Raw genomic sequence first — 27949 nt, forward strand, 5'->3', positions numbered from 1 at the left:
GCTGCCTCAGTGGAGTGGAGTGGCAGAGGAGGAGGCCAGCCTGCTGTGCGGCATGGAGGAAGGCATGGAAGGAGGTAGGCACCCTGGCTGTGGGCGTTCATTGGGTTTTCATGGCGCTCAGGGTCAGACAGATGGTGTGTCGGGAGCTGTGATACCAGGAGAGTTTGTAGGAATTTGCTGTTGATTTAGGGCATGTTGGGAACACTGGTGGAGATGAGCGGATGATGGGTGAAGGTGGAAACGCTGGGATGGAGGAGGTTCATGAGGGCAATGAGTTCTAGATGAAAGGGATGGTACAGGAGGGGCTGGCCTGGAGAGGAGCAAGGTCAGGTGATTTGTTGCAACAGGAGAGGACAGAGGGAGGTACAGGTGTCAACCTGTGTGTAGATGTAGGTGGTGGTTGGATGATGGAAAAAAACCCATGTGACTTCTGCTTTCCTACTGCAGAATGAAGTCAGGTAATTAGTGAGAAGGGGTGCAGAGAATAGTCAAATATTATGATCTCTATATCTCTGTGATGGCCATATTAATATTTCACCTTTCACCAATTTCCCCGCTAATGCCCACGCATGGCGTACAGGCCGCGTTGGAGATCCCTGCGGCTCATGCTGCCTTATTACGTAATGCCCTGGAGAGGCCTCACAAGTAGAAGAGTCTAAAACGATAGATTGCTTTAAATAACTCATGCTAAATCATCCTCCTGTGAACATTTCTCGATGGATCTTGTCTTTTAAGCTTCAACAAACCCTATTAGCCATCAAAATCCTCCAGTCTCTCAAAATAGCCCTCATCAGACTTGCTCCCACATGCTTGCGTCATGGCTGGGTGGCCACTGGAGAGGTTGGGTGGAGATGCTGGCTGTGTACATAGGAACCAGAGCCCCTAGAGAGATGACTTGTGTCTGAGCACCATTCTTAAAGCTTTCCAATACATGGGCTGTCAGTGGCTGTATGCATCTTCTCTGTTTGACTTGGCTTAGGGATATTTGGGAGGGGACAGGGGGGACAGGCAGCATTAAGCATCCTTTTGCTGGTCCTCTGTCTTTGAGTGCAGTTCTGTGATACTCAGATGTCTTCCAGAACTATCGGCTGTTTGATTGTGGAAATTCCTGGAAGACAAGGGCTCCTGTTCCTTCTCTCGCCACCCGTGCTTTTTGTCTTTCTCACCCTCTGTTCCTTTAAGACCACAAAGCAGGGACTCGGACACTGGTGACACGGACATTTCAGGCTCTAGCTGTGGGACGCTTCAGGCAGGCAGCCTGATCTTTTTTCCATTTTGTTTAGAGGTATAGATTGTACACCTCTGCTCCGAGCTCCTTTATCAGGCCCCAGAAATCATGGATGCAGCAAAAATTTTGAAAATGAAATTTTTCCTATATTATCCCAATTACTCTTTGGTCTCCATGAAGCCATTGTTTTTCCAATTCCTCTATTGCAGAATGCATGCAGGGAATTTAGAAATCACATGGTAAACGTTATGGGCCATTTCCTATTGCTGACTTTACCTTCCTAGTTCCTCAGAGATGTAAGATGAATGTCCCTGGTGCCAGTGAGCAGCCAGTCAGTGTGCACAGAGCTGGAAAAACTAATAGACTAGATGCATCTTACTGATCACGTTGATGTGGAGGGGCCTCATCTCTCTGGTCCAGCTGGAAATGTGATTGCTGCCTGGGGTGGCCATGACTAAGGGATTCCTGTCTCAGCTGCCTCTATATGGAGAACTGAGCTGAACTGGTAAACGCTCAGTTTCCCTTTCAGAAAAGAATGTTACTCTCAAGAGCAGCAGTGATTCAAATGGCCTTTTGACTTTAAAAAATTCTCCATTTAAAAATGTAGAAGCATTTTATCCTATACAATTATAAACATTATTGGTAGCTAATAAAAAATTTTGATGAGGCAGCAGATCATTAAGAAAATACATATAGACCTTGCACACTTCATTTTGACTTCCAATAGATAAATAGATCCATTTCACAAAGCATGTGCATTTGTCAGGTTGCTTTTTCTTGGTTTTGTTTTTTTATTTGACTTAAGATAGGTCTATAGATGAGTGTTTGCCTTCGTTTTCTGTGAGCCAGTTTTCATACCTTTAAAGTTGAATAAGGGCTGGGCATGGTGGCTCACACTTGTAATCCCAGCACTTTGGGAGGCCGAGGCAGGTGGATCACCTGAGGTCAGGAGTTCGAGACCAGGCTGACCAATATGGTGAAACCTCGTCTCTACTAAAAAATACAAAAAATTATTAGCTGGGTGTGGTGGCGGGCACCTGTAATCACTGCTACTGGGGAGGCTGAGGCAGGAGAATCGCTTGAACCTGGGACGCAGAGGTTGCAGTAAGCCAGAACTGTACCACGGTACTCCAGCCTGGGTGACAGAGCGAGACTCCATCTCAAAAAAAGAACTGAAGACAATCGATGAAACGATTTGAACGCTTTTTAGATTTAGTGAGTCTTTTAAGTTGTCTCTCACCCATCTGACTTGACAGCAGTTTTTCAAGTGAGTCATCTTTTTAATCTTTTCAAATCTTTAGAATTCGTTTTCATGTAAAAGTCAACTTTCTTTTCATAGCCCTATTTTATATAATATTTCATTAAAACAGTTATAATAACAGATTTATTTGGTATAAAGCAGGTATGGAGCACGCACACAGCTGTGTCCACTCACTAATCCATGCGCACACGCTTCCCTCTTAGCTGTAGACACCACATGATCACATCACTAGGGGAGCTATTCAGTGGAACCCCATGCTGTCCTTGTTAGGTGGATTTTTAAACACTCTGTTAAACTAAAAAAGTATATTCTCACTGGCCAGTGTCCAGTGTAAGCAAATTTGCACATGGCTGTCCCTTGAGTCACTGTAGTTACCTTTTAAAAGGAAAGAGAGGGAAACTCCATTGTGTAGATCTTTCCCCAGCCAAGAGACCGTTAGCATGCGGTACAGTAAGGCAGCCACTCATTAACTGTTTGTTTACCTGGCAAAGAGGGCAGGTTGGTGAGCTCCCAGGTCCTCAGAAAATGAGACTAAGTTTTATTAAGATCTGAGGGGAAAAAAATAAACCAAGCAGAACTAGAATTCACTGGACCAGAAGGTTTTGTTCTCCCTTTTCCAGCTAATCTCTCTCATCCAATCTGAGAGAATTAAGCAAGGGTGAGGGAGTTGCAGCTGGCTGAATTCAGGAAGTTACCAAAGAAGGCTGATTTAACTGAAAAGACATATATTCTTCCCAAAGCCCAGGCTATTGAGCCAGAGTACCTGATCACCCAGCAAAGCACCACTCAGGCTGTGAGGCTGGCCACGCACAGGGAGGCAAAGAGAGGAGGAGAGAGGAACTTAACTTTGTTTTTCTTCAAAAAGATGTGTTGTTTCTTGGCAAAATGTAATCACCATTGTTAGCAAACCCATGAGATGCTCTCAGCAATGTTTATCAAATAGAAAGAGCTTCCTTCTGTGTGACAAGCAGGGGATCAGAGTGACAGTGTTTAGATCTGTTACTTACAAGGTGATAGGGGCAAAAATTAATACCTGCACAGGCTGACTCCTGAAGTCTTCATCACCAGAAATGCCAGCATGATGTCCAGGCCCTAAGGTGCCTACCATGTCCCCATGAGAGACACACAGTGCCATGAACAGTCTGGGTTTTCCAGAAATACTTGATTTGGTTAATTGACAAATTCTGTTGTTCCTCCTTTATAGTTAATTAATAATTTTCCAGTGTAGCGTTTCCTATCAGGGGGTGTGAATCCACACACGTGGCTTTTTCACAATAAAATAGCATTCATGGTGCCTTAAAACAGCTTGAAATGCCCCAAATTACTAGACTTGTAGGTGGATTTCTCACAAATTATTATTAAAGGTAATGAAAATCAAAATCAAAGCATTTCATATTTATTGTGTCTTTAGGGCAGGCCATACTTTACAAGTACCATTTTAAGAAATCCTCTCAATAGCCATAAGAGGGCAGGTCATATGATCTTTATTTTTCAGTTGAGGAAGCTGAAGGCAATACTGATTTAGTATCTCACACAAGGTCACATGGCTAATAAGGCAGAGAAGAATCAGCTTTGCTTGACTCCAGAGTCCGTGTTCTGTATAGACAAAGGCATGAGGTCATCCAATAAGGTAATCGCTTGGAGAAACATTTTTCCCTACTTGTTTTGATGTAGAACTTCTGTACCAATTGTAACCCTCTGCCGGTTGAGTAAATATTTGGGGTTAAATATAAAGCTGAAATTCAAATAAAGAAACATGTTACTGTTCTCTACAGGGCTGGTCCTCACCTTTTCACAACGCACTTTGGAAAACCAGCACAGAACAAAGGCCCCTCCCAGCCTGGTGTATTCAGACCTCAGTGCTTTGCCTGGGCTGCAGCTCTGTTGGGAAAAGGTGGCAGTTCAGTTCCCGAGGCTGGTGCCCTCGGCAAGAATGGGAGAGCCTGGTAATTTATAAAGGATTATCACATGCAAAGGCAATGTTTGTTTTATTCCATCATCTCTCATTCTTTCAAAGCAGTGGCGTTTTCTTAGTATCGCCATGTAATAGAGTTCGAGAAAAGTGACCTTAAAATTGAGGCAAGTGTCACACTTTGAGAATGCATTAATTTTTTTAAAGACATTTTAGTGGTTTTAAAATTTTATTTCATATATATATATATATATATATATAATTTTTTTTTTTTTTTTTGAGACGGAGTCTCGCTCTGTCGCCCAGGCTGGAGTGCAGCGGCGCGATCTCGGCTCACTGCAAGCTCCGCCTCCCGGGTTCACGCCATTCTCCTGCCTCAGCCTCCCGAGTAGCTGGGACTACAGGCACCCGCCACCGCACCCGGCTAATTTTTTGTATTTTTAGTAGAGACGGGGTTTCACCGTTTTAGCCGGGATGGTCTCCATCTCCTGACCTCGTGATCCGCCCGCCTCGGCCTCCCAAAGTGCTGGGATTACAGGCGTGAGCCACCGCGCCCGGCCTTCATATATTTTTATGTTGTAAAAAGGGGAAACCTTTGTTCTTTGAGTAAAATGCCCTGGTAGTGAACATTTTTTAAGGTTTTTTTTATTTTGACAGACATACCCACATTTCACGCAGCATCATGCTTACCCATTCACCTCATCTTGCATTCAGAGAGCTCTCAGGCACTTGCAAAATTGAAGGCCAGAATGAAGGGAGCTCAGTCATCCTTGACAACTGCTGGGGACAAAGTTGGCAATTTGTTCATTGTTCTTGCAAGCACTTAGCCTCTTGCCGAGCACTTTAACATCAGAGAATTCTGGGCATAGATCAGAAATCAGTGGCTGCAGAGGCAAGCTACGTGCAGGTAAGTTAAGGGCTTACTATAGAAATGCAAAATGCCACCATTCTTCACTGTGTTCTGAGAGGTTTCATACTGTTGTCGACACCTGTGCTGGTGTAGAATTGCAGATCTCTTTCTGTCTTTTTTTTGTTGTTTTTCTCCTTTTCATTTTTTCATTTTTTACTCCACGCTAAGAACATCGGAATATTTTCAACTTTACCATTGGTAAAATAGTGCAAAGGAAGTGAAGATCACGTCAGCCCATGGTCCATATTTTATTCCTTGAGTTAGCAAATCACCAACACTATTTAGTTTAGCGAGTTACTCCTTTGGAATTTACAGTAAAGCCATATTTAATATATTTCCATTTAGCAAGTATTTGTTTTAAATAACAGCCTTGGCTTCCTTGTTTGGTTTGTGAGGGAGACTTTGCTTCTGTGTTTCCAACGTGGCTGGAAGTGGAGGCTCCAGGGCTTTGCCTCACTCATACAGTTTTATTTTTAAATTGAAAAGTGGATTTGTTTAACATCCTCCAAGAAGCAAACTCATAAAGCTCGGGCTTTCCTAAAATGCATTGCCAAAATCATAATTGGTAGAAAGTTAGCAAGAAAGAAGGATTAGCTCATCGAGCCGTGGCCTAGCAAATTGTAATGGGCTCAAGTAGTTTTGTGGCTTGTTGAGAAAATGATACAGAGTTTAGGAAGCAGAAGGACACAGCAATGACACAGGAGAGCCTCACAAACAACAAACACTGCCTTTGCCAGGAGAATTGGGAATGGGACCATTCTTGACCTTCCTGGAAGAACTCAGAAGGACGTTTCACTCCAGGAGGCATCAGGAGGGAAGTCTTTCATTGTTTTCAAGGAATCTGTTGTCCCTGGGAGTGGGTCACAAGTGCTGCACACACACTTGGTGTCTCTGAAGGAGCCTCACCACATATTAGAGATGAGGTTCCTCCTTGCCTCAGGACCCCATGCCTCATTGGCATTGCTGCAGGGAGACCCCAGGGGCTTGTGGCAGTCAGAGGTCAGCAGAAGACACGCAGGGTTGATCTGTGCTCATGGACTCTGATCTCACATCAAGAGCCAGGTTCCTTTTGACCGGGATGATTTGAGAAATGGTGGGAGCAGGGCAGTTATCAATTCAGATGAGTAGATGCTGACTTAGCTCTGTACAGCTCCCTGGCACCACCCATGGTACAGGGAGGCAGGGATTAGGAGAATGCTGGCCTCCCTGTAGGTCAGTGATGTTGCATCAGTACTGGGATTAGGCTGGGGTGTCCAATCTTTTGGCTTCATGTTGGAAGTATTGTCTTGGGCCACACAATAAATAAATACACTAATACTACAATAGCTGGTAAACTAATAAAAAGATCTGTGCATAAATCTCATGTTTTAAGAGTTTACGAATTTGTGTTGGGCTGCATTCAAAGCCATCCTGGGCCACATGTGACCTGTGGGTTGCGGGTTGGACAAGCTTGGATTAGAGGACAGAAGAACTTGCAGCTTTCAGCTTGGTTGGTTGCTTGGGTAAGGGTGCACTCTTGTGTTCTCTCTCTCTCTTTCTCTCTCTCTCTCTCTGTCTGTCTCTTTTCTCTCTCTCTCTCTCTCTGTCTCTCATCTCTCACTCTGAAAGAAGTCCTGTTGGGGGAGTCCCAAAAGCTAAACCATTGGCCTGGGGGAGAAACGTGTGCTGGATGGAAAAGAGGACAAAGGCATAGACTTGTTGACTTGCATCTCCGAGGTCCTGTGATGTGGCCAGGTGGCCTGCAGCTCACCTGAGAGACACAGGCAGGATTTCCTCTCGCTTTAGAAATTGAGCAGCCTGCTTGGAGCAGGCTTGTTCTCAGATTCATTGACACTTCTGCCCATCAGGGTGATCTGCAGGAATGAAAAGTGGTTAGAATTCTGTTGCAAAGGTTAATTTTAAAAGGCCAGTGAACACCCACAAGGGGGTCACCAGGGCAAAACCACAGCACACACCCGCCTCTCCGTTTAACTCACACTAGTCCAGGTGCTCTGCCTGCTCTTACCTGCTTTTCCTCTTGGTTGGGTAACAAGCATTCAGTTGACTGCATATTCTCCTCCCTCAGTTTCTTCTGACATCTTCGTGAGACCTGAGAGCAAGCTCTGCCTTGGCGACAACCAGTTGTCATTTCTTAGTGGCAGCCTTTATTTTTCAAAAAATGAAGAAGGATAGGCAGTCTCTGCAGAGTGATAGTGGGGAGCTGCCAGAGGGGCAGCAGGGTCCTGCGTGTATCCTACCAACTGTGTTTCCATTCTCTTTTCTCCCACCACAGAAGAACAAGTAAGCGTAGAGCTGACAGGGAAAGGTCTCCCCACCAGGGCTGTCTGTCCTGAGAGTTTAGAATGTGCTGGGAGAGCAGAGCATTCTTTGGGGCCTGTTTGGCGCCAACAAGGAGCGTTACGTGGTCTGTGACCAGCTGCTGCACCTCCTGCTTTGCTCTGGAAGGAGGCCTTGAAGGCCAGTTGGAAGTTCTGCTCGGCTGCCTTGAATAATGAACCATCAATTCTGTTTCCCAGCTGTGCTTCCACACCCTCACTCTTGGATGGGACTGCTGGGTTCCTTGTCTGCCACAAGCAGCAATTGCTGGAAGTAGCAGGTCAGAAATGGGAAAGGAGGCCTGGACTGCATAGCCAGGCAAGCCAGTGAGGTTGGAGCAAACCCTTGAACAGGGGCTGGGCCCACCTTTGTAGTCTTGTCACCAAGGAGGTTACTGAAGCCTCCAGAAGGCACACTGTCTGATCCAACTCACATGCCAGAGGAACACTGAATAGTTTCCTTCCGATGCATTACATTCATTAGTTATAGAAGGAATAAAGCCATCCTATATCTTCTCTGAAAAATGAAGGAGTGAAAAGAGCACAATGTAATCCTATTATGGTTGCAACTCTTCCCAGTTTGGTTTTCTGCAGATCTATTTACATGCATACTTTATTCTTTCATAATCATGGTGTAATATCATCTGTGTACTGCATTATTTTACTTACCATTCTATCACAAGCATTTTTCCATGTTACTCCAGCATTTTCATTGCCAACTTTCTTATTGGCTGCATGAGAGTCTATCCAGTGGGTATACCATAACTTGTCAGTACATTGTATCATTTTCATAAATTTAGGTTGCTCTCAAGTTGTATCTGTTGCAGATAACATTGTAGTGAGTGTCTTCATGCATATGGTTTCTATATTTTGCATTATTTCCTAGGACACATTCCCAGAAGTCGGATTACTGGGGCTCGATACACATTGTCAAATTGCTTTCCAAAAGGATTTTACTGATTTTATTGCACTCTCGCCAGAATTCAATATTGTCTTTTAAAAAAATTGTTAATGTAATGGCAAAATGTTGTTTTATTTTTACTGAATTTTCATGTCTTCAGTGATTTGCAAGATAAAACAGTTCCCAGCCATTTTCTTTCCAAATGTAGTTTCTGTTTTTGTAAACTATTTACATCCTTTGCTCATTAATCTATTGGTTTTAGTGTTTTTTCTTGAGAACTGTCTTAACATTGTTATACTATGCTCATAGTAACCTATTTCATATTTCCAGTTATTTTTTCTGTGGTGGTGTTTGCCCATCTCATTCGGTTAGGTTTTTAAAAATTTGTTTTTATTATTTTACATACAAATATTTAATTTATATCTTTCCATCTTTTTTAATGATTTCTCTGTAATAGCACCCTCCCTCTATAAATTTGATAGACCATTTTAGGTTTTATTATTTTATATTAAACTTTTTGTTTGTCTAGAATTTAATGCTTTGTATTAAATGCATGTAAGTTGATTTTTTAAATTGCAACTAGTTATTACAGCACCATTTATTAAATAATTCTTCATAGTTTAAAAGTGGTTCTTCCAGTTAAGGTTTTAACATAATGTTAGGGATAATTTCTGGGCAATTTGTTGCTTCAATAATAACATGTTTGGCCAAGCACAGTGGCTCATGCCTGTAATCCCAACACTTTGGAAAGCCAGAGTGGGAAGATCACTTGAGGGCAGGATTTCGAAGTTATGGTGAGGTATTATCATGTCACTGCACTCCAGCCAGGGTGAAAAAGTCAGACCCTGTCTCTAAATAACAGTAATCATCATCATCACCTTTTATTCTTGGGTTAGTACCACATTGTTTTAATTACCATTTCTTTATGGTGTGTTTTAGATATTTGGCATCGGCCAGGTGCGGTGGCTCACGCTTGTAATCCCAGCACTTTAGGAAGCTGAGACAGGTGGATTGCTTGAGCCCAAAAGTTCAAAACTAGACTGGGCAATATAGTCAGACCTTGTCTCTACAAAAAAAAAATTTAAAAATTAGCTGGGTGAGGTGGTGTGCCCCCTGTAATCCCAGCTACTCTGGAGGGTGAGGCAGGAGGATTGCTTGAGCCCAGGAGGTCGAGGCTGCAGTGAGTCGTGATCGTGCCACTGCACTCCAGCCTGGGCGACAGAGTGAGAACCTGTCAACATAAATAATAAATCAATATCTGGCAGCCCTTCTCTGTTTTACTATTCATTTTCTGATTTTTCTTCTGTAGTTTAACCTATTGTTCTACCAAATGTAATTTAAAATCATTCTGTGAAATCCAGCAAAAATAGCTTTTTATTTTAATTTTGATTAGATTTGCATTAGAGCTCAGTATTAAAACATGCACACCTTTTGGTGCCAGATTTCATACTCAACATACTTTGTTCCTTTTGTGCGAAGGAAATTATGTTTATTATGGAAAACAGTGAAAGATGAGAAGTAAATGGCTCATCCTCCATAAATGGCCATCGCTGACTGTTTCATGTAGAACTTTCTGGCCTGTGCCCATATCTTCTCTCTTCAGGCTTTGGCAGTGGGGCTGATACTTCACAGGCTGTTCCAGTACCACTGCACCTTCACTCTGGAGGTGGGAGTGGGACTCCGTGCTGAGGACCCTAGATGCACATCTGTTCCCTTAGCAGGGAGCCATGTCCAGAGAGTGAGGCATGCAGGGAGTGGTCATGTGGAAGGTGCGGTCAGACCGCCAAGGTCATGCCATCTTCTGGGCACTGGTAGTCCCTATGGAGCTGCTGCTGGCCAGTGGGAAGATTTGGAGGATTTGAGGATACTCTTCAGAGTGTGCTTCCACAGTCTAACCCTCCTGCTTGACGACCTGTTATGTGTGAGATGGTGGCTTTGTCACAGGAATCACCTGAAAGACCTCTATCTGGGCTCCGTGAAACTACCTAAGCAGGTCAGTCTTTCAGTGAACTGATCTGATATCATTGGGCTATCACGAGCCTGAGGCTGGCTCCCCACTTTCAAATCATCCTCAAAAGGCAGGGCAAGTGTTTTCCTCTGGTTGGTGATGGTGTCCTAGCATGCCCTTTTTCCAGCTGGCTTCCCACTGGGCTCAGCCCGATGCGTCTACTGCAATCCCCCTTTCCTGTGTTGCCCTCGGATAACTCCATGTGTAGGCCTGAATCGTGTTCATTTCCAGGAAAAGTAAATGATGCATATCTTACTTTCCATCTGTGGTCATTTTTTTTCTGCTTGAGAAACACCTGGGTCTGCTTGTTTTTGAATTCTCTTTTTGTTTGTCTGAAAAAGAAATCTATTTTATTTCAAAAATTCAATATTGAAGGATAATTCAGATTTAGAATTTGAGGCTAGCAGTTGATTTCTTTCAGCACTTCAAAGATAATTATTGCACCATCTTTTAGCTTTCATTGTTTCTGTTGAAGGTAACATATCTTTTTCTCCAGTGGAGATATAATCTCAGTGCTTTTTCGTCTTTGTTTTTAAACTTTTTATTATCAAAACTTTCATACATGTACAGAAGTAGAATAGTAGTTATACTATTACTATTATATTATGTAGTATATACTACAGCTCTGTTTTAACCATCGTTCACCTTTACCACTGTCAACCATAGCTAAGTTTCTTAGATTTATCATCCCAGCTTTGTCTTTCTCACCATTATGTTGAAGCAAATCTTAGGCATTATATCATGTCGTTCATAAATATTTCAGTTGTCATTCAAAAATATCTCTTAAAAATAAGAATTTTTTAACACCTCTATATTATTACTCCTTAGAAAATGTTGTTTTATACATAGTTCCTATAGTTTGCCCAACTTAGTATCTAAACAAGGTAAAAATATTGCCTTTGGTTGTTATATCTAGTAAGTTTCCGATAATCTTTAGGTTGACACCCCTACTTTTTTTCTTTTTTTTTTTCTTTTTGTTTTTTTTTGAGAGAGAGTCTTGCTCTGTCGCCCAGGCTGGAGTGCAGTGGCACAATCTCGGCTCACTGCAAGTTCCACCTCCTGGGTTCATGCCGTTCTCCTGCCTCAGCCTCCTGGGTTCATGCCGTTCTCCTGCCTCAGCCTCCTGAGTGGCTGGGACTACAAGCACCTGCCACCAAGCCCAGCTAATTTTTTGTATTTTTAGTAGAGGCTGGTTTTCACTGTGTTAGCCAGGATGGTCTTGATCTCCTGACCTCGTGATCTGCCTGCCTTAGCCTCCCAAAGTGCTGGGATTACAGGCATGAGCCACTGCGCCTGGCCTTTTTTTTTTTTGAAGTACATGATCTCACTCTGTTGTCCAAGCTGGAGTGCAGTGATGTGATCATAGCTCACTGCAGCCTCGAACTCTTGGGCTCAAGCAATCCTCCTGAATAGCTAGGACTATAGGTGTGCACCACCATGCCCAGCTAATTTTTAGTTTTTTTGTATAGCTGCAATCTCACCATGTTGGCCAGGCTGCTCTTGAACTCCTGGCTTCAAGCGATCCTCCCACCTCAGCCTCCCAAAATGCTAGGATTACAGGAATGAGCCACTGCACCAGGCTCCCCATTTTTTTTCCTTATAATTTATATTGCAATGTTTGTTCAAGTTCTGTAGGAAATTCCACATTCTGGATTTTGCAGATTGAATCCACATGGTGTTATTTAACGTGTTCCTCTGTCTGCTATACTTTTGTAAACTGATAGATCTACAGACTCAGTGAGATTCAGGTTTTGTTTGTTTGTATGTTTGTTGTTGTTTTTTAGCAAGAATACCTGATAAGTGGTGTGGTGTTCTTCCCATTGCATCACACCAGCAAGCACATCATGTTTTTCTGTCTCTTATAACGTGAAGATTGATTAGTGGCATCAGGTGCTGCCAGCATTTATCCAGATTCCTTCAATATACAGTAGTTTTTCACCTAATTGTTATGGCAGCCAATGATGATCATTGACTAGACCCATTATTCCTTTGGAGTTAAAAAAATCCTTACTCTAATTATGTTATTCTGTCTGCTTTCATTAGCCAGAATTCTTTCATAAGATGGAAACTTTTTTCATAAAATAGATGGTACCCTGAGAGTGTTTATTAAAGGAAAGGAAGGATAAATGCTTGTCTCTTTCATTTTAATTATCTATTTGCTAAATAGTGAATTGGTTCCCTGGCATCCTCCAAGGATGACCAGTAAATTTTTTTCTTTAATACCTTCATGAATTTTCATGTGTCTAAGTCCGTTGTAGTTATGATTCTTTTTGCTGAACAAATTCTTCCATCTTGTTCCACTAGGAGTCTTTTCAGGTGGATTCCTGGGTCCTTACCACCCTGCTTAAGTAGTCTTTGATAATGGCTTTCTTTTTGATGTGACAAAATATCTCAGGTTGATCTTTTACATTTTCCATCCCAAACCTGGAATAAGCCAAGAATATATAGTTGCTTTTAGTGGGAAGTGGTATTTAGAAATCATAATCTGGACAACGAGGGTGCTCACTGCAACTGAGTTACTCATTCTTTCCAAGCCTTTTAGTGGGCAGAGCTAGGAAATACATTTTCTTTTTTTTAATTCTCTTTTCCCTGCACCAGGATGTAAAGTAAGGAAATACATTTTCCATAGGAAAAAAAATCAACATGAATTCATACTATATTTGCATTTCCAATTTAGGATTATGGAGATTTTAGTTACCTTCTTTGATTTTATATGTGTAATTTGTCTCTTACACTGAAAATTTGGGTCCCTAATGACACAAACATGATGTCTTGTTGCTTTGTATGTATATATAAAATATATAATAATTTGTAATATACAGCATAATATAGAATACATAGTATATACTATACTATGTATATATTTCACACACACACACACACACACACACACACACACATAAAATAGTTTCAGAATAACAATACCAATTGTTACTTTAAAAGTTTGTTTTCTCCTTAGGATATATCCTGCAGACATACACAATCAAGTCATGTTTCTCAGGCACTTGAGATGAATCCTTGCATGTAGCTAAACTCATCAATTTGATATTTAGGATAATTTTATTTTGTTTTTGATTTTTAGTGATTGCACTTTTTTATTTAGAATAATGTGTCTCAGATATACTAAGCAAGTGTTTTCATAGTATTTTCACTTCTGCCCCTACCTTTCCCTACAGGAAACCACTTTTATTCATTTGTTGTTTATATATTGTAACTTAACTTTTAATATCAGTAAATACACACCACACAAACACGCACACACAGATGCGTGCAAACACATACTTGTATTCCCATCCCTTTCTTATTAAATGGGAACATCAATACTGCTTTTTAAATCTAACTTTGTATTCTGGAGACTGGCGTGTTGTAGTATATAGAGATATTTCTCATCACTTTTTACCACTGTGCAGATTCCATTGCATGCATATTCATATTTTCTTGCACCTGTCCTCTAATAATGGGCGTGTGATGGTTTTTCATCTTTTACTGTTATAGATGGTGCTTCATCTATAGCCTCATGCACACAACTTTACATGGTTTTGCCAGTGTGTCTTCATGATAGATTCTTTGCAGTGGGTTGATGTAATTGGAAGGCAAATGCATATGACAATTTTGGTAAATAATACTCAATTGAATGCCATAAGGTTATTGAATTGTAACATCTCACCAGAAATAAACGAGCCTGCTTATTTCTCCACAACCTTTCCAACCTATTATGTTGCCAGACTTTTGTACCTTTGAAAATTTATCACATGAGAAATGGCATCTGAGTGCAGTTTTATAGATCTCAATGTATGTTTTTTGGTTTGTTTCTATACTGCTTAGAGTTTATAATATTTTGGAAAATTCTCAGACAGTATCTCCGTTATCATTACTTCTACCTCATTCCCTTTCTCTTCTTCTTTTGGAACTCAATTACAGATTTGTTAGACCTTAGGCCCACATCACATACATGTCTTATGCTTTTTTTTTTTTTACTTTATTTTTCATTCATTTTCTCTCTGTATTTTATTCTAGCTATATATTTCTGATATATTTTTTACTTTTGTATTTCTTTCTTCTGTCCTATAATCTGCTGGTAAATTCATGCATTTTTGTTCTCTGTTTCTGTTATGGAGTTTTCATTTGGTTATTTTTGCTAATTGGAAACTAAAATTTCCTATTCAGTCTTTTGGTCCCTTAAAGACTCTTGGTGGTTCTGTTTCCGTGGATGTGTTTCTGTTGAGTTTTTTGGGAAGAAGTCAGTCTTGTTTTATGATCACGTCCTGGTTTCTGGTATGCCTGGATTTTCCTGAAATGAATGCTGTAGATCATATGTAAAAGATATACAGACTTAATTGAAGGTACGATGATGTTATCTTACTCCAGATAGTGTTTATTTTTTTCCATAATTTCCTGTGTTTTTATGTTGTGTATATTTGTTTAATACCATGAAACTCCTTTTCTGTGATATTCAAAATGAAGGTCGTGGTAGTTTTGAGTGGAAGGCAGTTTTGTATTGTGTTTTTAAAACTTTATTTTCCAGCAATTAAAGATGTCCACAGTTATGAGAAATAATACAAAGAGATCCTGTAGCGCCTTCTCTCAGTTTCCTCTAGTGGTAATATCTGGCATAACTGTAATATATCACAACCAAGAACTTGTGTCACTCTTTTATAGGTCAAGCCTCTTTTCTCCTCCTCGCCCTACCCCGTTTCTGACAACCACTAATGCCTTCTTTATCTGCGTAACTTTTTCACCGTATGAATGTTACATAAATGGGCTCATACAGTAGGTAACCTTTTGAGACTGGCTTCTTTTCCACTCAGCATAATTCCCTTGAGGTCCATCCAGGTTGTTGTATATAGCAATAGTTTGTTCCTTTTATTACTGAGTAGTATCCCATAATATGGATATAGCATAATTATTTTCAACCATACAAGGCCATTTGGGTTGTTTCTAGTTTTGGGTTATTTTGCATAAAGCTGCTTTGAACATTTGTGTGCAGTTTTTTGTGTGTGCACAAAAGTTTTTATTTCTCTGAGTTAAATGCCCAGGAGTGCAGTTGCTAGATCCCATGGTAATTGCATGTTTAGTTTTGTAAACGTCTGGGAGGCAGGACTTTAAGGTTGCTGGGGCCTCAGGGATGCATAGGACAGCTGGGGCTTTGCATCCTCGACTGCTTCAGCTGAAGACACAGTCTAGAGTCTGTGTACTCTGGCTTAGGTTGAGATTGGGAAGACATCCCTTGTTCTCACTTCCAGCCCTCTCACTTCAGTCAAGACTTTTGCTTACAAAGGGCAGCACAGAGGCTCACCGTGCTTAAGTGTCACGTGGATTTACTGGACAGACCATTTGCACACATGTGAGGCAAGTGGTATCGAATTTTACCTGGTAGCAGGTGCCAGCTTCCTTCCTGCATGCCCTGTCCCCTTTATCCTCAAAGCAGGCAGAGAATATGGCCACTTGGCATTCTCAGTCTCAGCCCCCACAACCCCACCCCCAGACAGAGATGTACACTAGCCCCTTCATTTGAGTTCCAGATGTCCTAAGGCAGAACTCTGAATGTCCCTTTGGGTCCTATGTCTAGTTCTGTCCCTGGTGGCCAGTGCCAGAGTCTTACAGCACAGCCCCATGTGTTGGGAGCGCCAGCTTTGGGGTAATTGTCATAGACAGTAGCGCCCTGTCGGGTCAGTTCCGTGTGAGAACCTGAGAGGGAAGGAGAGTTGCTCACGGTCAGACAGGAGCTCTCATCAGCAGCTGAGCCTGCATCCCCAGGCGTTTGCCTCCTTCCTTTGGTTTTGCTGATTTCGCTTCCTTGTGGGGAGACAGAGCTCGGCCTTTCTGCTCTCCTGTTGCGCTGGCTGTGTACTGTTTATTATAGCCTACGTAGAGAGAATAGAGGGACAGACAGCATTTCTGGTGACAGGGCATATCCAGTGAAATGCAGACATAAATCATCTTTTAAACAAGGGTGGGTTTGCGGTAGGAAGGCCTGTGTGAGGAAATAGGCCCTCTCTGGGCTCCCTCCGTCCTTCACAGAGTGCCTCCTGACCCAGGGTCGCAAGCCAGGTTCTGTGCCAGGCACCACTCCAGAGCAGGTATCTGTGGCTTGACAAGGATGCACAGGGCAGCCGATCCTTGGAAAGTCTGTGTGTCCAAAGTGCCTCTGGTTATATTTCAAGGACCTGCCTGAGCTGAGTCACAGTTAGCCTCTGACAATATTTCTAATAGACCACTCTGTTGTTGGACAGTTTTTACCATTTGCACTTCCAGTATGACCACTCCAGGTCTCTGCATTAATTTTTCTTTTTAAATCCTCTGTTTTAATGTTTTCGGGGGAGGGGGGGCCCACTTCTATCTGAAAATGCCCATCCAGACACTGTGGGTTCTGTGCCAATGCCAGGGAAGGAAGCTCAGGGTTCTGCCCTGGGCCCTAAGACCTTAGTGACTCAGGCAGCCCTGCTACTGGTTGGGAGCGCTCTCCACTGGCCACCTCTGCTGCAAAGCTCTTTTCTCTTGCTTCATGAGAAGTGGAAGAGTGTGAAACAGTACACGGAGGCCTTTCTGGCTGTTTACAAGGGAGATGGGCCACCAGTGTTTGTCACCGGAGCTTCAGGGTAGCATGCCTAGGAGAGGAGCAAACAGGGGCCTTGGGGCTGTGGAGTCATGCTGGGAAGATGAAGAAAAGACAGTTGGTAACTGACAAATTGCAGGTGTGATCATTACTCTCTGTGACTCCCTGTTTCTCAGATGCACTGTTGCTTACATCTTTGTATGCTTTTGCATTCCTGCTGATTGATTCAAGGTGCAACGTGCCTGCTTGTCAGGTATGCTGTTGATCACATTATTTAAGAAGAAATAAAGTCGTTCCCGCAGCTCCACCTGCAGTGATGGGCTTTAATGTTTTGTGCTTCCCGAGGAAAACCTGCCGATGATGTGAAGTGACATTCAACCCGCCGAGAGCTGATACTGGCAGACAAATTTCATGTCCTGTCTCCTGATCACCAGTTTGCTGCCTCCAAGTTGTTAGGGATATTAAAAACAGGGGTGGGAAGTCCCCACTTGACAGGTTCAATTTGTAATGTGAAAGGTGCTGAGAAACAAAGCAAGGACCCAGGCAGCTTTCTGCCAAGGCTGCTGGCCCCACACTCAGCAAGGCAAAGAGAAAGGGGATCTATCTGCTAGTAGCATGAGTGTGGGAGAGGAGGGGGCTGTTGTAGGGTGCCGTGGAGGACTCATACATGATCCTGGGAAGAGCGCTGCTGCTAGCCCAGGGCCACAAAGCGTCAAGGACGTTGAGCTCCTGTGCATGCTCCTGTAGCCTTGTGTCATCTGAAGAAGCACAGAAGTGGCAGGAATGGCCTTTTCATAGGGCATGGGATGCTGTAACTGATGTGCAATCTGTTATCTCAAAGGAGACCTTAGCACAAGTGGGAAAGGAAAAACTGCCCGACCATGGAGAGAACACAAGTGGGCTGAGTGTAGCTGCCTCTCCTTACCTGTGGCTGGTGCCATGAAGGAGTGCTGCTGTCATTGGACACTGTGGGGCCAGCACCGGGTTTTGTGTGTCACTTGCATTCTCCCTTGGTACACAGAGCCCAGACTGGTTTCCTGGTCCCTTCCCAGCGAGCACTGTGATGGCTTTGCCATTGAGGTGGATGGAGGTCCTTGACCAAAGCATGCTTCCCCCTGACCCCATCCCACCCGCAGGTTGGCAGCTCATCCTCTTCCACCTGCTGTGAAAGGGCTGGGTCTGGGGACATGGGATGAGGGCGACTTGCCTGCCCTATGAACCAGAAGATCAACCCCTCTGAAGCCAGGCAGCAGATTCTGCGGCTAGATCACCCTTAGATACAGCACAGGGCCTAACGTGTTGGTGGCACCCACTGTGTATTTGTGGGATGCTTGAGGAAATCAAAAAGAAACCAACACAAAAGAAAAGACTCTTCATTGTAAAAAGCCTGATGAGAACAGACAGGATGTGGCCTCTGCCAAAACCACCATCCACTTCCCCACCCAACTCTCTGCCTCCAGTATGCCCTGAGAACCCGCCTAGTCATCTGATCTGCCTCCATCATGCAGGCGTACTGAGCTCCTTCACTCCTCAGGTGAAGCCACCCGGAGCACACCGCGGATATGCAGCTTGAGAAAGCCAGTGTGTGCTCGCCCACGTTACCCTCCAGGGCAGGTGCAGGTGACCACTTGTCTCAGCCCACCTGGCCCCTCAACTCATTTTGTGTTACTGACCCTCTCTCTTCCATCCTCATGGTACTTGGGGTGTCCAGTTTAAGGCCTGTCTCAGATATACTTATAATGCAATAGAACAGATTTTATTTACCAGTTGAACTTCCTTTTCTCCCAGAGACCATTATTTGCACTAAATGTGGTTTTGTTTTGCTTTTTGTTGTCGTTTTTTGTTTTGTTTTGTTTTGTTTTTTGTTTTTTGTTTTAGATGAATTCTCACTCTTGTTGCCCAGCCTGGAGTGCAATGGTACCATCTTGGCTCACTGCAACCTCCGCCTCCCAGGTTCAAGCAATTCTTCTGCCTCAGCCTCCCCACTAGCTGGGATTACAGGCACTCGTCACCACGCCAGGCTGATTTTTGTACTTTTAGTAGAGATGGGGTTTCACCATGATGACCAGGCTGGTCTTGAACTCCTGACCTCAGGTGATCCACCCACCCTGGCCTCCCAAAGTGCTGAGACTACAGGCGTGAGCCACCACACCCAGTCAAATGTAGTGTTTCATGTGAGTTGTCCTATTTTTTTTTTTTTTTTAAGATGGAGTCTGGCTCTATCACCCAGGCTGGAGTGCAACGGCGTGATCTCGGATCACTGCAACCTCCGCCTCCCTGGTTCAAGTGATTGTCCTGCCTCAGCCTCCCAAGTAGCTGGGACTAAAGATGCATGCCCAGCTAATTTTTGTATTTTTTAGTAGAGACGAGTTTTCGCCACATTGGCCAGGCTGGTTTCGAACTCCTGACCTCAGTTGATCCGCCCGCCTCAGTCTCCCAAAGTGTCAGGATTACAGGCGTGAGCCACCACACCTGGCCAAGTTGTCCTATTCTTAAATAAGGATAGCACATATAGAATTATTATGGGGATTCAGGTGTAACCCCAGGGCTTTGGGAGGCCTAGGTGGGAGGATCACTTGATGCCAGGAATTTAAGTTTTCAGCCTGGGCAACAAAGTGAAACCCCTTCTGTGAGTCCATTTTGTGTTGCTCTAGAGGAATACCTGAGGCTGGGTAACTTGATAAACAAGAGGTTTATTTGGCCCATAGTTCTGCAGGCTGTACAAGCGTGGTACCAGCATCTGCTCAGCTCTCAGAGGCCTTAGGAAACTTTTACTCCTGGCAGAAGGCAGAAGGAGAGCAGGTATGACACATGGCACGAGCAGGAGCAAGAGAGGGAGAGGAGGAGGTGCCAGCTTCCTTTGAACAACCAGCTTTCGTGTGAACTATCAAACCAGACCTCACTCATTGCCACAGGGAAGGCACCAAGTTATTCATAAGGTATCCACTCCCATGACCCAAACACCTCCCACTATGCCCCATCTCCAGCATTGGGGGTCACATTTCAACATGAGATTTGGAGGGGACAAAACGTCCAAACCATATCGCCCCCTCCCTACAAAAAAAATTTAGAAATACCTAGGTGTGGTTGTGTGCACCTGTACTCTTAGCTACTTGAGGGGCTGAGGCGAGAAGATTGTTTGAGCCCAGGAATTTGAGGTTACAGTGAGCTGTGATTATACCACTGCAGTCCAGTGAGACACTGCCCACCCCACCCCGATAAAAAAAAAAAAAGAACTGTGATTGGGAGGGTTTGGGGCCAAGGTTGCTTAAACAAACACAGCCCACAGCTCTGTGCCAATTGAGGTTTGGGATTCCTGCCTCACCCCTAGATAACCAATAAAGTAGCTATGATACATTAAGTTCCTTTTGTTCTTAAGAGAAGGTGATGGGTGTAACTAGAGTGTTGACAACATGAAAAACCTAAAATCAGGTTGGAGATAAATATTTAAATCTCCTCTATTGGATACTGATAATGATGCTCTTAAGTAAAAATAAATATAGCAGGGGCCTATTAGGGGAGACAGGCTCTGGCTTTCTTACAGCATGCTGTTGCTGTGTGGTTTGGGTCACGTTTCTTAACCTCTCTGGGATTTCCTTTCCTCTGGTCTGAAATGAGCAGTTGTTGTACTTGCCGTATAATTTCTGAGGCCTCTTCTTACTCAGAACTTCTGACTGTTTTTAAAAGATGGAGCATTACCTCTCTATACCTGACTGTGCCGCATGCCATTCGATTTTGTTATCGAAGCAGGTCAGCCCGTTGTTTTTCACATAGATTCTTACAATGCAACAAAGCATCACAGTTACTCACAAGGGAAGGCAGGGGAGGAGGGGGAATGTGGTGTCAGAAGCCAGACCCATCCTCACGTAGTGGAGCTGCACCTGCCCATCTCCCAGAAAGTCCTTCAAGCCCCTTTCAGCGCCTCCACCTGCAGGCCTGTTCTTTGCAAGCCTGGCTGTGGTCTGTTTTGCATAAAAGAAGATTATCCAGCAGTGGGGTTTGCTCTTCTCTTTTTACATGGCTGCCATAGCAAGCCAACAAGAAACCTGCCGTGTGGAGTGACGGTCAGGAACCTTGCAAGATGCCGTCGAGGCTCTGTCTACACCAGGCAAAGAATCTTCCAGATTCCTGCTCTCTAACTCAGATGAAAGTAGTTGCTGCAGAGTGTGTTTGCTTCTCTGTCTGCCTCAGGGCTGAGCTTCTAAACATACCTGGTCTAGTGGGTTGCACAGCTGATTCCAGGACAATGGGATGAGGGAAGGGGAAGATAGAGGCTGGCAGAGGTGGCTTTTTGTGGCATGCATGGGAAAGCGGTAGGGGGTGCTCTTCACAGTTGTGGGGGAGGCTTAGCCTGAATCTCAGGGCACAGCTGAAGAAGGAGAGCAGCCTGGAAATGCGTCCTAAAGAGCCGCTCAGCCACGGCAGCTGTGAGCTGTGGCCCATCAGTGGCTGGAGGTGGGACCATTTGAGCTTTTCACTGAGATAGAGCCTGTGTCAAGTGTTCTGAACAACTTGCTGTGGCCTCATGTGAGCTTGGCTGTGGAATCAGGGAGGCCAGCACAGAGCGTGGGGCAGCTATTCCCAGTTCATCAGCATCAGCCACGGTGTGCAGAGGAGGGGTGGGAGTGAGGGATGGTCGAGAGGGAGAACCTGTTGATTTGCCCGCAAGCTAGTTGTGGAAGACAAGCACAGGCCAAGAAATGTGGGTGGACACCATTAATGGAGATGGAAGGAGGTGTTGGAATGGAGGAACACGGTCATTGACTTTTTGCACATGCTTAGTCTGAGATGCCTCCAGGGCAGTAGGATAAGCTAACCTGTGGGAATGTGGAGGGACGAATCCATAGCTCAGAAGCAAGCGGTATCTGCAGGAATGGATTATACTGGCTGGATCATAGGGGGTCAGTGAGTCATGAGAATGAGCCCTAATTGTAGAGAGTAGGATGTGTGATGAGAGAAGTGGGGACGCATCGTCATGGGGACCATCTTGATGGAGGGAGGGAGAAAAGAGAGGAGAGATAGGCAGTGAGCACAGAAGGAGGAGAGGAGAACCAGGCAGGAGCTATGCCAGTGACACCAAGGAAGGGTGCGTTTGCTGTGATGTGTTTTCATCACGTTTTCATAATTAACCAACAGATTAATATTCCTCAGAAATACAAAGCACCTCTCAATCATGCTATACCTTCTTCCCAACTTTACAGTAATACATTTCTTAACTTTCTAGTTATGTTTTAGCACCTTAGAATATTGAAAACATAAACCAAACCCTCATGGCACGAGCATGGGAAGCCCTTGTGATGAAAATCAGCTCAATGAGAGGGGAAATGCGGGAAGCATTTTTAGCAGAAAGTGATGACAGCTTGGAGCATCCCAAAGCTATGCATTATTCAGACGTGTCGGAGCGAGAGTGCCCGATTTCACCACCCATTACCTATTGGGATGCCTTCTTCTCTGCTTGCTAATCTGAATATTACTCATTTCAAGGTTTTGTTTATATTATCTTGAGGGGAAACAAACAGTACCTAATTAATCCCACCAAACATAATATTGGAAAAGCAATTATTCCCACCACGTGTAATAAACCATCTGTAGGGAAAATAATCCATTAAGTGTGAATCAGTGTGAATTTTAAAACTATTATTAAGATCAGATTGGTTCCTCGTTATGAGCACCATAATTTTAGTATTTGTTCATGCATACTGTGTTATGCCATGTTCTGTAACCTTAAATCCTTAATGTCCAAACAAATAATATCTATATGCTAATTAGTGTCAAAAATCACAGGTCAGCCAATCAGGTGTTTCACAGATGAGCCCCTTTTTTGGGGGTTAGCTCGAATCTGTGATTAATTAGAAAGTGAGTCCCCTATTTTGAAATTCTAGTGATAATTGTAGCAGAGGGCTGAATTTATTTGCATTTTCAGTAAATCATCCATTAACTGAAATGAAATCTTTTTGTTAAATTACTGCTCCTGGTTCAGTTAGGAGGGAGTTTTCCCTTCATTTTTAAATGTACTGGAGTATCCTTCAGTTCTCCTTGAGTGAGAAGCAATCGCTTTGACCATTGTCAACCAGAAAGAATTTCCCCACAGCATTTCTCTCTTTCCCAGCTGGGCCATAAATTGTCTCGTGACTGAGGTTGCTGTCTGCTCCTGAGCAAGCTGGAAGCAATGATGAGCTCAGAGCTGGGCTTTATTAAATCCTAGGAAGACACATAAAAATTGTTAGCAGTTGATTTCGCAGGAAACACCTAGCAAACTTGTCGGGGTTTATATTACAAAGCCCAGGGCCTGCAGTTAGCAGATCATCTTTTTTGAAAAGCATTTGGGTACCTTTGTCAGAGCTTTTCTGCATTTTGACGTAGGAGGATACCTGAGGGCCATGGTTGTGAGAAAGGAGAGAACCCACCCAGGTGTCCTGGGGATTGTTTTATTCATAAAGTAATTCGGATGATCTCGAGGTGGTCCAGGGAGATGGGATAGAGTCAGCCAAGGTGTCTATTGTAAGATAGATTGTGAACCCCTCAAAGATAGGCTGAAGTCCTTATTCCTGTCACCTGTGATTGTAACCTTATTTGGAAATAGGGTCTTTGCAGATATAATCAGGTTGAGGTGGGTGCATGTTGGAGAAGGATGGGCTCTTTATTTTTTGTTTGAGACCATGTCTTGCTCTGTCACTCAGGCTGGAGTACAATAGCATGATCTCAGCTCGCTGCAACCTCCACCTCCCAGGTTCAAGTGATTCTCGTGCCTCAGCCTCCCGAGTAGCTGGGATTACAGGCATGCGCCACCACACCTGGCTAATTTTTTTGCATGTATTTTGGTAGATACAGGGTTTCACCATGTTGGCCAGGCTGGTATTGAACTCCTGACCTCAGATGATCCACCTGCCTCGGCCCTCCAAAGTGCTGGGATTACAGGCGTGAGCCGCCGCGCCCGGCCAAGAAGGGTGGGCTCTTAATCCAATGGCTGGTCTCTTATAAAGAAGAGAAGACACAGACACACAGGAAAAATGCTGTGTGACCGTGGAGGTGGATCAGAGTGAAACATCTGCAAGTCAAGGAGATTGCCAGCAACACCAGAAACTAAGAGGAAGGCATGGGACAGAGTCTTCCAGACGGGCTTCAGAGGGAGCATCGCCTTGCCAGCACCTGGATTTGGGACTTCTGGCCTCTTGAACTGCAAGAATAACTTTATATTGCTTTAAGCCCCCCAGCTTGTGGTCACTTGTCATGCCAGCCCCAGGAAACTGACATGTCATCTCTCCGTGTGACTGGTTAAGTCTTGATGTGATCTCCTAGACCTACGTACTTTGGAGCTAGCCAGGGTATGATCAGCGAGAGGCTTAGGACTTGGTTAGTTCAACCAAGCTGTTGGAGCCCATTCTTGCCTCAACCTAGTGAAATCAAACCTTGCATCCTTTTCTCTTGCCTTTCTGAAGATGTGGATTTGAAAAAAAGAAAAGTATTCCTGCAAAGTTCCTTATCTCAGGCTCCATGGCATTTCTCAGAGCATCCGGCCATTGAGAACTGACTCCGTTTCTCCAAATTCAGCCTTCCCATGTGAGTTCTGTCCTGAGATGTGATTGGGGATTGGAAGCCAAGCAGACCCAGCAAAGGGAAGGTGACCAGTGGACTCCACCTGCTCAGCAAACACTGACCTGGCTTTTCCTTTCTGGGAAGTTCCGCAGGCCAGCTGGCATCCTCCCCGATGGCATTTCCTGGAGTCCTCACCTGAACTCTTGGGAATTGCCGCCTAGAGACCACCATGCAAAGCAGGATGTTGAAGACAGATTAGAAGGCTTCTTTCGCGCTGCCTCTCCTGTGCGGCTTCTCTCCGTTGTCTGTCTCCTCTCTTGTGCTTTCTGGATCTCTTCTAAAGCTTCTTGGGAAAAGCCAAACAGGAAATGAGCCACCAAGAGACTGGGCTTAGACAATGATGGCCAAGTAGAAAAGATTCTATGTTCTAGCATTGGGGACTGCAGAGGAGACAGCTGCCCCTTTCCAGGACCTGTCGAAGGACAAAGTCTAAGGTCCGTGGGGATCACCCTTCAGGAAGATGGCATCAGGCCACAAAAATAGAAAAGAGATATCGCCCTCCCTTTTATAGCACAAATGTTACCAGTCATGCTAGTATCAAAAATTATATTCCAGTTTACTTTCTGCTTCCCTTTCAGGCCTGAGATGCCTGGTTGATCCATCTTCGAATACTTTCAGGGAGCTAGTTTTTCTTGGGCCTTTTTCCCTCTTAGGGGCCACCACAGAATGGCCTCCCCAGCCGTTTTCTCTCCCTAATTCTGGAGCCTGGCCTGCCTGTCCTCCCGAGAGCCCCACCTGACTTTCTTTGCTTTGCTTTGCCTCTGTGGCTCAGCTTGTTTCATCCGTTCCTCCTTGCCATTTTGAAGGCAGTGCCAGCACTGGAGAACCCTATCAGTGCTTGCAACCCCACCACGAGGCCGGCAGCCGGGAGGGCTGGGCGCATCCGCTCACTGTAATCTCCAGAACAGATACCAGCTTTTCCTAACCCCCTAGCCTGTTCTAACCCTTGAACTGCTTGAGAGATGTCAAAATCATAACTCTCTGGGGAAGAGGAGTCAGTGTTTCTGTCCTAGCAGCACGCATCAGTGCAATCAGAGCTCTGTAAAAGCCAGGATCCACCAAGGGGAGGATTTGTGAAGCTTTTTCCAGTTACAGTGAGAACTGGGCAGGCATCGAGTCTCAGTTTCAGTGCCGCTTGAATACAGGGTGTCAGTGTCACTTGAGTGCTAGGCGGAAGTGCAGGTTAGGCCTGGATCGGAGGGTTAATGATTAGGTTTCTCCCGGGCTGCTTTTCACATCAGTGCTGTGCAATAAGCACTTTTACAAGTCAGGCTGCTTCCTTTGTTTGAGCTGCTAACCCTGTGTATTGAGCCTAGCTAAATAACTCCGATATTAGGATAATATACAAATGAATGTGTAAAACACACTTCAGTGAGTACTGTGCTAACCGCTTCTTTTGGTGGAGGGAGGAAAGAAGGGTGTTTACAAAACGGCTTCGCTTTGCTATTGTCATGAGGAGAACAGGAATTTCTCCAGGCTGTGTGGTCACCGGTGAATATATGCATCTAGGTTTTAGTATTTATTTGGAAATCAAATGTATTATGGGCAAGGGTATGTAATGAACCAGCCATTTAAAGATCCCTGGACATAAAATGCAAGCTTTTGGCTGCGCGCTGTGGCTCATGCCTGTAATCCCAGCACTTTGAGAGGCCGAGGAGGGCAGATCACTTGAGGTCAGGAGTTCGAGACCAGCCTAGCCAATATGGCAAAACCCCACCTCTACTAAAAGTAGAAAAATTAGCTGGGCATGGTGGCGGGTGCCTGTAGTCCCAGCTACTCGGGAGGCTGAGGCAGGAGAATCACTTGAACCCAGGAGGTGGAGGTTGCAGTGAGCTGAGATCGCACCACTGCACTCCAGCCTGGGTGAGAGAACGAGACTCCATCTCAAAAAAAAAAAAAAAGAAAAAAAAATGCAAGCTTTCGACAAAGCCTGCCTGCCTGCTTTGTGTGTGCCTTCCCTTTTTCTTGCAGTGGCCCTGTGGGTTTGCATGGCCCTCTGTGGCCAGCCTCAGGATCTAGGGTCCTCTCTGCTTGTAGTATAAGCTTTGAATGCTGTGGCCCGGAGCTTTTCCACAGCCTGTGTTTCCTGCTTCTGGTCTGCTCTAGAGAAATTCAAGTCAGGTTTGGCCTGGCTTGGCCAACCCGAGCTTGCCATGTACCTGAGTCCCAAGGGTGTCTGTCCCCTAACTCTAGCCACCTGTTGGGGAGGTAGGAAGGTCTGGGAGGGAGATGCTGAGGAGAGCAGAGTCGTGTGCAGACCAGGTGGGACTGGACTACAGGAGAGACCAGGTGGGACTAGACTACAGGAGAGCCCTGGGGGGCCACTCCTGGGGCCAGGAGCTGCTCCCTGAGGGAATTCTGAAGCTGGTTTGTGATTCTGTGTCACAGCCACCTGCATCCCAGTGAAAGCTATGGTTGCTTTCCATAGGTAAAGGCAATTTGAGGACAGCAAACATATTTTCCCCCACACAATCCGTCATTGTCTGGTGATGGGCTGTCAGTCCAAACCGTAGCCTAGAAATCGTAGCTCAGGAAGTAGAGTGCTGAGAGGAACAATTCAAACAATTTTGTTTCCTAAATGTATTCTTCAGTTGAAGTCTTTGTGGTTAATGTTGATAGTTTGTAGGCACAATCACTATTCTATGCATAGGGACAGCTTTTCCTAACTCTGGAAAAGAGGGGGTGTGTGTGTGTGTGTGTGTGTGTGTGTGTGTGTGTGTGTGTGTGTATTGTCAAAAACCAATGGAAGAGAAACACTTCAAAATGGGTGAGAACAGAGAACAGCATGAAATATGGACAGCAGACAGCCCTGTATGCAATGAAAATGCAGGTGCATGGTCACTAGAAAAGATGCCTCATTCTTTGAATTTTTGGCTCTTTGAAACACCTGTGTGACATTAAATTTTTTACTGAAATGTGGTATTATTAAGTCTTGCGTTTAAGTTTATAATCAGAAACAAAAACACCATGTCCTGTTAAGGAAAGAGTTATTCTGACAACGGTTAGCAGGATAAAGAAGATTTTACTCAGGAGTATTGCAATAGGTGTCAAGATTCCACAGAAGAGGAGAGAGATCAGTCTCAACTCGAAATACAGTACAAAACTTGGGATTTATAGCCAACAACCTGGGTGGGGCAGGTGACAGTCAGTGGATGGAAAATTACTAAGAGGACACCTCAAGGATAGGAGGTGTCTTGCTAAATGAACCTAATAGGATTCTTCCTGAAAACAGGCCAATGACTTAGACAGCAAAGGTGGAGGA

The 27949-nt window shown here is 44.3% G+C and overlaps 1 protein-coding gene across 17 annotated transcripts in view, besides 1 other annotated feature; it reads left to right on the top strand.

Moving 5' to 3' along the window:
• The window catches only part of DOCK1 (dedicator of cytokinesis 1), a 547089-nt gene that overhangs the window by 369945 nt on the left and 149195 nt on the right, over positions 1-27949 (top strand). The gene's annotated exons all lie outside the window — the stretch shown is intronic.
• Positions 4996-5523: an enhancer, noted in NCBI's record as "OCT4-NANOG hESC enhancer chr10:129078632-129079159 (GRCh37/hg19 assembly coordinates)". NCBI's record gives its function as "activates a minimal SCP1, AML or CMV promoter by ChIP-STARR-seq in primed H9 embryonic stem cells {active_cell/tissue: H9 hESC(primed)}" and the evidence as "EXISTENCE:reporter gene assay evidence [ECO:0000049][PMID:30033119]".

The sequence above is a fragment of the Homo sapiens genome, chromosome 10 (assembly GCF_000001405.40).
Source record: "Homo sapiens chromosome 10, GRCh38.p14 Primary Assembly".
Lineage (NCBI taxonomy): Eukaryota > Metazoa > Chordata > Mammalia > Primates > Hominidae > Homo > Homo sapiens.